This window comes from Homo sapiens, chromosome 10 (assembly GCF_000001405.40).
Source record: "Homo sapiens chromosome 10, GRCh38.p14 Primary Assembly".
NCBI lineage: Eukaryota > Metazoa > Chordata > Mammalia > Primates > Hominidae > Homo > Homo sapiens.
Genome location: NC_000010.11, coordinates 130,301,395 through 130,312,184, shown reverse-complemented (window position 1 = coordinate 130,312,184; position 10,790 = coordinate 130,301,395). Strand labels below are relative to the sequence as shown.

At 44.3% G+C, this 10,790-nt stretch overlaps 1 long non-coding RNA gene across 2 annotated transcripts; it reads right to left on the bottom strand.

Annotated features, from left to right (window-relative positions):
• Positions 1-7,118: 7,118 nt before the first annotated feature.
• Positions 7,119-10,350, bottom strand: LOC124900609 (uncharacterized). Of its 2 annotated transcripts, XR_001747662.2 has the most exons (3): positions 9,837-10,350; positions 8,283-8,381; positions 7,119-8,106 (listed from the first exon to the last, which is right to left on the bottom strand). It is a non-coding gene; the product is annotated as an uncharacterized LOC124900609 (long non-coding RNA). The 2 variants fall into 2 exon arrangements; XR_001747663.2 differs by lacking the exon at positions 8,283-8,381.
• Positions 10,351-10,790: the final 440 nt, after the last annotated feature.

Genomic DNA, 10,790 nt, shown 5'->3' with positions numbered 1-10,790 from the left:
TTAGAATTTATGCTTTTAAAAAATCCAATGTAAGAACACTTTCCTAATCCAAAGTTTGAGGTTTTCTCCAAAACTACTTTTTACACTTAAATATATGAATCTTTTAGTATGATATGATAGAGGAGTCCAGTGGAATTAGTTTTTTGCCTAATAGCTAGCCATCGGACCCAGCAACACTGATTGAAAAATTGAAGACGGCATGCAGGGCAACCTTTGCCATCCATCCGACTCGCAGCATGCACCAGCCTCTTCCTAGACTCTCTTTGTGCCACTTGACTCGCCAGCAATACCACAAGATCCTGTTCACTGTGCCTTCATAAAATGTTCTGAAACCCTGTAGGAACATCACCCATCTTGTTCATGTTCAACAGCATGTTGGAGATGCTTAGACCTTTGCATTTCCATATCCATTTTAAAATTGCCTTGTGCACTTACACAAAAAGATATGCAAATTTGCATTGAGATTATAATGGATTTTTGTTTCATCGTGAGCAGAAATGACATTTTTACAATAATGACTTTCTATTTCATGAGCATGAACTCTCTTTCCATTTATTTAGGTTTTTTAAAATGTCTCTAAACTGTATAGTTTGGGGGGGAGATTGTATACGTCTATCATTATATTAATTCTATGTATATGATATTTTAAGACACTGTAACTATCTACTTTTTAATTTATTTTTGCTATTTGTTACTGGCTGTGTTAATTCCAGCAGGCATGAAATGGGCTGAGCTGTTTTGCTGGGGTAAGACCTACCTGCATGGCTCCAACCCCCTCCAACCTACTCCACCTTAGTAGGTGTGAAATGGACTGATTCACAGTGAGTCCCAGCTAAGCTTGGGTGTCGCTTGTACTGTCTTGTCACCATAGTTTATTGATAACAGTGAAAGTGATGATTGTTCAAGTTCTCACCTGGTCTTGGTGGCAACGCGGAAGGGCTCTTGTACTAGAGGCTAGTCCATAGACAGGACATACTGATGTGGCCAGCAGGATATAAAAAGCCCAACTGACACTTCATTTGGAGCTCCCTGCTTCTGAGGGGTTCTGTGCACACAGGCTGGCTTCTGATCGGAGAGAAAAAATGCATCCTGGCACTACCCTGCAGAGAGGAAAGTTGGAGCTGGGGCCCATTCCTTCCTGACCCTTCACTGTGAGGCGGCCTTTGGCTGAGGTGCTTTTACCACTCCTGATGCACGTCTTCGACATCTTTGCTGTATCAAATCCTTTTCCTAAAATAAACTGTACATTTCTAAGCTTTGTCATTTTGGGTCCTGTGTGCCCTGGTGTCTAGACACACAGTTGATTTGTTTATATTGACCTACATTTAGTAAGCTTTTATACTCATTTAGCTATTCTGCAATTTACCTTTAGATTATTCTAGTTTTGTAAAGTACATAATCATAAATTCTTAAGCCTTCATTTCTCACCTATTTCACTTTCTAGAACTTGCGGTATTATGGTTGATTGTATTTGAATATACCAGACATAACTGAATTGGCCCCAACATGGACTGCTTAGACATTTCATCAATAAGTATAAAGGAAGTTACCTTGTGTTTCTAGTTTTTTTAAATGAGCTCTTCAAATGATGGATAAGGGCTGAATTTTGTGAAAGCCCTTTTATTCATAAATTGGATGAATCACTTGTTGTTTTTATTGTGGTGAACAAAACAAGGCTAGAAAGTTCCTTCTAATCATGGGCTTGACTGAATTGCTGGGATTTTTTAAATTTATTTGTTTATTTATTTTTGAGACAGAGTCTCACTCTGTTGCACAGGCTGGAGTGCAGCGGCACCATCTCAGCTCACTGCAACCTCCGCCTCCTGAGTTCAAGTGATTCTCCTGCCTCAGCCTCCCAAGTAGCTGGGATTATAGACACATGCCACCATGCCTGGCTAATTTTTGTATTTTTAGTAGAGATGGGGTTTTGCCATGTTGGCCAGACTGGTCTCTAACTCCTGACCTCAAGTGATCTGCCCGCCTCGGCCTCCCAAAGTGCTGGGATTACAGGCATGAGCCACCACGTCCAGCGGGACTGCATTTTTTAAACGTGATGTCTTCATTGCCATTTAGTTCTATATACTTTCTAATCTCCACTTGATGTATTAATAGTTGTTTTGATAGGGTATTGCCAGTTCATTTGTAAGACAGATATGATTAATCTCATCTCATGGTTAGAAAACTGAGAGGTTGAGTTTCCAGTTTGTTGCCGAAGGTCCTAGACTGACTGAAAAATTTCCCCTCCTTGCCAAGTTCTTCCCTTCCTCTGTAAAAACAGTGCTCTCCAATTCAGGAGCCTGGGTGGACCTCTCTCTCCAGCCCACCATGTCACTGGCCTACCTGTGAGGAACACTGTCCAGAGAAGGAATCTCTTGTTCATTAATTTAATGTGTTTTGATGCAGAAGATGCAGACTTTGACTCCTAGTATTGGCCTTAATAGGGGGATGCATTTCTGTGAATTTGAATATATTTTTAAATCTCTTCTTAAAAATATCATTGTAATTCTTTTCCTTTATCCCTCGTACTACATGGCAATCTAAAATCACAATGCAGGCCGAGTGCGGTGGCTCATGCCTATAATCCCAGCACTTGGGAGGCCAAGGCGGTTGGATCACCTGAGGTCAGGAGTTCGAGACCAGCCTGACCAACATGGTGAAACCCCATCTCTACTAAAAATACAAAAATTAGCCGGGTGTGGTAGTGCATGCCTGTAATCCCAGCTACTTGGAAGGCTGAGGCAGGAGAATCACTTGAACCCAGGAGAGGGAGACTGCAGTGAGCCGAGACCACACCACTGCACTCCAGCCTGGGCAACAAGAGCAAAATTTCATCTCAAAATAAATAAATAAGTAAATAAATATTTTTAAAAATAAAGTAAAATAAAATCACAATGCAAAGATCGCCTTGTTCCTGCACACACAGGACATTCGGCTCTAGATCATGAGGAGGCAGCCCCTCGAGCATTGCCCCTTTCCTTGCACCTGCTTAATGTGAACTTCTCTGAAAACATTTAGCAGAGTCTCCTCTGGGACCTGGAGATGATCACTGGTTTGCATCCTGTTCTGCTGGACCATAGTCAACCACCTAAATGTCACTTCGATGGGTGTCCTGAAAACAGCAGGCTCCAGGTCTCAGCTACCCTTGGAGACCAAAGAACAGAACTGTGTGTGTTAGTGTATTCTATTTTCCTTTATCATTTTTATTTTAAAACAATAAGGTTTATCTTGAAGAGAAATAGGCATGTCTTTGAGAACATCTCACTTGAATGCAGATGTTTTAATTCCTGAATACAATCCTGCAGAATTCACCTTACAGCCTATCATTGAGCCAAGGGAACTGAACACTGGCCCAGTGTTAAGTGGATTTTTAAATATTCTTTGGCCTTTCAATCTCTACTTTATACCCAGATGCTATGGTCCAAATATTTGTCCCCTCCAAAACTCCTTTGAAACTTAGTCCCCATTGTAACAGTATTGAGAGAGTGACAAATTTGAATATGATATTGGAGAGGTGGGACTGACCTTTGGGAGGTAATTAGAATTAGATGAGGTCATGAAGGAGGGGCATTAGGGGCTTATAAGAGGAGAAAGAGAGTTCTGAACTGGCACTCTCAGCCCCTCTCACCTTGTAATGCTGTCTGCCATGTTATAACACAGCGCAAGTCCCTCACCAGAAGCCAAACAAATGTGGCCCCTAGATATTGGACTTTCTGCCTCCAAAACTGTAAGAAATAAATTTCTTTATAGATTACCTAGTTTCCAAGATTCATTTATACCAACAGAAAATGAGCTAATGTGGCAGATAAAAACAGAAAAGAAGACAGCAAAACAATCACTTAAAAAAATCCTACCCTGAGAGTAAGCACAAAGGGTTAAAAATTAAATTATATTTCCTCAATTAATCAGAGCTAGCACAGAGAAGATGTTCATTTGTAAACAATTTCAATTCTACTTATGACAAGATGGCAATGGACCATATTCATGAATACCTTTATAACACGGAAAACACTCTCAGGCATGAATAAACTTCACCAAGGGAAACTATTAGGAAATGATGATGCTCACTTCCACCAGGGATATAGAAAGCTGAAAATAGTGTTGCCCTAACCACAAGAAAAAGCCAGGTACACCACAAGTTGAAATTTCCTTGGACCAAGCCAAATGTTTAGGTCACAGGGAAACCAAAAAGCCTGAAATTCCAGGAGGGGTAGCCTCCTCTAAGGAGAAACTGGACAGGAACCAGGTTCACTTACGGCAAAGATGTGCAGATGCGGAGGGATCTGCATTCACTCACTAGGCACTTACAAGAATGCTGGCAGCTGGGCAAGAGAAGAGGATGAGCCTCATCAGTAATACAGGCATGCAGGATGGACTGGGCCATGTGCATCAGACATGAACCCCACCACCCCACCTAGAACCTTCTCCCTCAAAATGCAAAAGTCTTAACCCCATGAGCAAGGAGCAAGGAAAGACCCACTGCAGGAGGGAAAGGGTAGAAGCAAAAGCCCTGGACACTCAGGGGAGGGCAAGAAGCCATCCTGGGCCCAGATCCTCTACTGAAACCAAGGAGAAGTCTGCTGCCCTGGGGGCGTGTGGGGCTGAAGCAGGAATCCCCCACTCAGGTAGAATTTGAGCACCATATGGAAGAGGGGCAGGAATGACACAGGGCCAGGCACACAGAGCATTTACAAGAAAAAAGCTGGAGCAGAACAACAGCAAGTTTCCCCTGACCTGGATCTTAGAACCAAATTTCACCCAGCACCAACTACCACTGGGGAGGTGCAGAGTATGGAGAAGACCTGATACAGTGACAGCCAAAAGCTGAGCATGCAGCACTAAATCTGAGGAAGACTTTCCAACACGCCAGCCATACCCCACCCTGCACACAAGGTGAAAGGAGGAACTGAAAGCCTGTAGACAGCAAGAGCCATGACAACAACAAACCTCAAATTCAGCTCATCTTTTGTCCAAATTGTATCAACCCTCCACATTAATGGCTTCACAGCATAAGAGGCATGCCCATTTCCGGGGGTAATTACTATATACCTCCATCATCCCTGGTCTCCAAATAATGTTCAGTATTGAATAAAAAAGATCATGCGCACAAAAAAAGCAAAATAGTAATAATAACCCACAATCAAGAGACAAGTAAATCAATAGAATCAGATACAGAGATGGCCCAAATGATGAAAACCTCACACGAGGACTTTAAGATAATTATGATTAATATGTATGTAGTGGAAGGGGTGGCCAGCATCCACGAGCACAGGGACCTTTTCAGCACAGCAATAAAATCCACACCGTCCGCATCAGCCTTGGCTATAGCATGCCCTGGTGCAGCACTGTTCATGTTCTGACATGCAAAGGCCCAGTGCTTCTGGCCCATAGCTCCTGTTAAAGCCAGACATATTCCTCAAGACAAGAATGCATTGCCTTCTCCTGTTCTTATGTCTCTGTTCCATTCTGATGTCCCTGACATACAAACAATGCCAGTCTTCTTTAGAAATGTCTCATGTAGGGAGAAGAAGAGGGAGTGTCAACAACAACAATCAAGTCACTTTTTCAAAGGCAGAAGGCAATCTCAGATCACTGAGGGCAGAATGATCCCAAGGAAAGTATTAGATGCAGCAAAGAAGTCAAATCAGTAGGGACAAGAGCCTGCAGCCTCTGCAGTGTGGTGGAAATTAGCGATCTTTGCCAGAGCAGGTTTAATGAAGTAAAGGAGGTGAAAGACTGCAGTAGACTGAGGAACACATGCAGGTGAGGAAGGAGAAGCAAGTTCAGACAGTTCTTTCACCCAGTTCTGGGAAGAAAATGAACGCCCAGGGAATATATTTAACTGTTTCAACAGGACAGACAATAGGTAGAACAGCAACCTATGCTCCTTATCTGTATGCATGTGATATAGTTTGGATATTTATCCTCTCTCAAATCTCATGTTGAATTGTCAATTGTAATCCCCAATGCTGGGGGTGGGGCCTGGTGGGAAGTGTTTGGATCATGGGGGCAGATCCCTCATGACTTGCTGCTGTCTTTGCAATAGCTGGTGAGTTCTTGCCAGATCTGATCATTTAAAACTGTGTGGCACACCCACTATGCTTGCTCCTGCTCTGGCCACGTGACGTACCTGCTCCCCCTTCACCTTCTGCCATGATTGGAAGCTTCCTGAGGCCTCCCCAGAAGCAGATGCCACCATGCTTTCTGTACAGCTTCAGAAGTGTGAGCCAATTCAATCTCTTTTCTTATAAATTATCCAGGCTCAGATATTTCTTTATAGCAGTGCAAGAATGGCCTAATACAGCATAACAAGACAGATCTCCTTTCCGCATGTAATAAAAACACTCACCACCTCCCCACACAAAGAGAATAATCATGTAAGAAAGGGAAAGAACATACACATACATGTATCCCCCAACACATGACAGGAGTTATCTGGACACATCTCATTCTATCTTCAGAATGCTGTAAAGTACAAGTGCTCATTTCTAATTTAGAAATGAAGAAAATGAGACTCCAAGAGCTACGTGTGCTGCTCAGCATTGACAATTCCACAGGAGCCTGTACACAGTGACAGACACTGAGGTCAGCTTTCTTCCCCTGGGCATGTTGCCTCAATTGTGAAGGTTAATATTTAGTGAGTAAGTATTATAAAATAAAACAAATACAAACACCTAATAAGTGCTAAGAAAAAATAACTTCAGCAGCCCATATTAATACACTATTAATAGAATAAAATGAGACATAGCAGAGAGATACCTCTTTGGACCTCAGGAATAAGATTGACCTCAGAACGAAATTAGCAAAAGGATCAAAGAGAAATTCGCTGTGAAGTGGAATAGTCCCTCCCAGGCTGGCCAGATTAAACCACCACAGGCTTCAAGGAATCTGTTTTGAAAACAAAGCATGAGATACACAACTGTGGAAGTGTCTCAGAGGAAAGTGTCACAATGCCCACTGCAAGGGCACAGGGAAGGTCACCTTGCAAGGACACAGATGGCCTGGCTCAGTGAGTTCACCATCGAGCACTGCATCAGGTGGAGGTGGGAGAGGCGGTGCCCAGTCATTAATATCTTGTTCCTCCGACTCATTTTTGAAATTGCAGGCACAGTCAATTCTGATGAGCTTAATGAATTTATTTTTTAATTGAACTAGTATATGATGTAAAATAAAACATCAGAGAGTATCACACCTTGTGAAATTAAGTTTTCTTCAGTGAAACTCTTCTTTCGATTTTTCAAGAGTGTATAGGTGTATACGAGGTTGGAATATAAAATATATTTTATACCAAGAACTGAATTATAAAATACATGAAAACCACAAGTCACCGATATTCACTCATCTTGCCTTTGAAATGTGTTCACAAGGTTCCTCTTATTTGTAATTTATGTATCATGCACATCTGCCTACTGGAGGGGAAAATACTTAATAGGTCTCATTACTACCCATGTCTGTGCCCGTGTCCTTGTGTGTGTGTGTGTGTGTGTGTGTGTGTGTGTGTGTGTAGTGTGTGCATGTGTCTGATCACAGGGACACAAACAATACTCTCTTCTCTGTCCTGTGTTGCAATTGCCCACTGCTCCAAGGCCCCAGGCCTAGAATAAAGATCTCAGTGCAAATGCACCTGCGCATGTCATTCAAATGAAATTTGGGGGCGGGGGTTGTCACCATGAGTAAATGTGGACAGTAAGGCAAGGCGGGTGGAGTCTCAGGTACCTGAGAGTGCAGGGGCCACCTGGGCCAATTCAGTTGTCCAACAAACAGTGCTGCCTCCATCCTTGCCGGGAGCTTTCTATTCCTTTTGTTCCACAACCGTTTCTTCCATCACCTTCACCCCTACACTACTGATACCTCTTCTCTGAAGATGAAACCTTTCTTCCTCACTCCTGCCTTGTCCATTCGCAAATGTTGTGGATGAGGTGCTGGAGCTCCAGGAACTGCAGGCTGGCGTCAGGAACCCTCCAAGGCTATTCATGCCCCGGTACTGTCTCTTCCTCCTTGCTTTTGGGTTCTTGGACTCTGTCCCATCTGCTTCATTCCCACACTCAGTTCTTCCCACTACTCATCCTAATTCTGTGAGGCAGCAGCTATATGAAGAGCTGGAATCACCTGAGGGCAGAGTAAAGGTGTTACCACCCTGATCAGGAGGAAATGATGATAATGCAGAGGCTGGAATTGCCCTGTCCACCTTTACGAGCTTGGAGCAGGCTCTTTTCTGAAAAGCGTGTATTGACGTCTAACATGGGTGCTTAGGATTCCAAATCATAGAATTACCATTAACCAACCTGGAACCTTCTCCAGATGGAGCAGCTGTAAGATGCCAGTGCCACCACCAGCACAGGTTCCTAAGTCATTGTGTGGAGTACTAAGCTCCTCTTGTTGACCTGCACAAGAAGTGGGGGCAAAAATAAATTCTCCTCTCTGGCCATTAAGATAAGATCGTTATTATTTAATGCAGAATAACAAAGTCAAATTAGGTGGGAATTACAATCTGCTCCAGGTTTCAGACCATACATGGGGAGCATGGAGACACACAAAGTTGAAATAACAGGATGGGGCATTCAGAGAGATGAGGCCACAGGAGTTTTCAGGGCGGAGTCCTGGAGATGAGGTAATGATGCAGAGAGAGAGGGAGGAGAAAGAAAGACAAAAGTCCCAATAATATGTACACACGCCCCAAAGTATATGGACAAATACAGCTTCCCACAGTCATTGCTGCAGTAGAAAGATGTGAGCAGGTGCAAAGGGTGAAGAGAGCAATAATGTGCATGATCCAGGGCTCCATGAGGCTAGGAAATGTGCCAAGGGCCTAGTCAAACACACAGGAGAGGTGCTCCACCTGGAATGGGTTCTGTCCTCTCCTTTCTTTTTGGACTCAGCTCTCTCTGCTGGACTCTGTCTAGCTTCAGTGATGTCCAAATCTCCTTTATTCAAGATTCCAGATAGAGTTGCATTCTGATATCCCCTCCCCATCTCTCTGCCTCTTAGGGAGAGTTTACATGTCACTTAGCATGCAGTCTCTAAAATTACATGATTCTGGGCTATAATCCCAGCACCTTGGGAGGCGAAGGTGGGAGGATCACGTGAGGTCAGGAGTTTGAAACCAGCCTGGCCAACATGGTGAAACCCCATCTCTACTAAAAATACAAAAATTAGCTGGGTGTGGCAGCGCACACCTGTGATCCCAGCTACTCGGGAGGCTGAGGCAGGAGAATCACTTGAACCCAGGAGGTGGAGGTTGCAGTGAGCCGCGACTGCACCAATGCACCACCGCACTCCAGCCTGGGCAAAAGAGTGAGACCCCGTCTCAAAAATACATAAAATAATTTTAAAAATAAAATTACGTGATTCCTGGGTGAGCTGAGAGTGTGCTGGTGTGAAAAGCTCCACAAATCTAGCCCCCAGCAAAACTAGTAAAAATTACAAAAAAAAAACTAAAAAATGAAAACAACCATTTAAAGTCACTGATAATGGTCCCAAGGGCATACAATGAATGACATTTTACTCTCATCCAGGAACTCAGTGCAGTTCAGATAGAATAAATACAAAGAGATCTACAGACACATTATAGTGAAAATGCTGAAAGTTAATCCCAAGGAAAAAATTCTGAAAGCAGGAAGAGACAGCAGAAAGCAAAAGCTTTGAAATTAAAAAGGATCCTCTTAAACTCTTCAATGGGAACCCCAGCAAGATTAACTGCTGATTCCTCATCAAAAACAATATAGGCCAGGAAGAAGTGGGATAATATGCGCAATGTCCAAATTTTAAAAATTCTCAACCAAGATTCCTATAACATAGCACAGCTATGTTTCTAAAATGAAGGTATAATAAAAACATACCCAGATTAACAAAACTGAAAGAATATGTCGCTGGAATATCTGCCTCATAAGAAATCAAAAGAGAAATTCATCAGGCTGGAAGCAAGTGATCCCAGACAGTAAATCAAAATCACACACAAAAAACATAGGGCACCATAAAAGGTAAATATGAAACTACAAAAGGCAGTATAAGTGCACATTCTTCTATTTTCTTCTCTTAACCGATGTAGAAAGCAGTTGTATAAAACTGCATATATACAATGCATTCTTCTTCCTGTACCATATATAAATGTAATGTGTTCACCAATAAGAGTACGAAGGAGGTCATGGGAGCAAAGCTGTATTGGGTTGAGAAAATGGCTCCAAATATTAACTCAAATTTATAAACCAAATGAAGAGAACCAAAAACGAAGACCAGACAGCAGACAGGCCCGGCATGCAGGCCCCAGTGCCAGCTGAGCCTCCCAGCTGGGCCTGAAGGACGTACAGCGGGCAGCCCCGGCAGGCCGGCCCTGTAGGCAGCTTAGAGGGCAACCCCGGCAGGCGGGCCCTGCAGGCAGGACAGCGAGCAGCTCAGGCTGGCGGGCCCTGCAGGCAGGAGAGCGGGCAGACCCGGCAGGCGGTCCCCGGGGCCAGCTGAGCCTCCCAGCCGGGCCTGCAGGCCCTGCAGGCAGGACAGCGGGCAGCTCAGGCTGGTGGTCCATGCAGGCAGGACAGCGGGCAGACCCGGCAGGCGGTCCCCGGGACAAGCTGAGCCTCCCAGCCGGGCCTGCCAGCAGGAGAGCGGGCAATCCCGGCAGGCGGCCCCTGCAGACAGGACCGCGGGCAGCCCAGGCTGGCGAGCTCTGAAGGCAGGACAGCAGACAGGCCCGGCATGCAAGCCCCAGTGCCAGCTGAGCCTCCCAGCTGGGCCTGAAAGATGTACAGTGGGCAGCACCGGCAGGCGGGCACTGTAGGCAGCTTAGAGGGCAACCC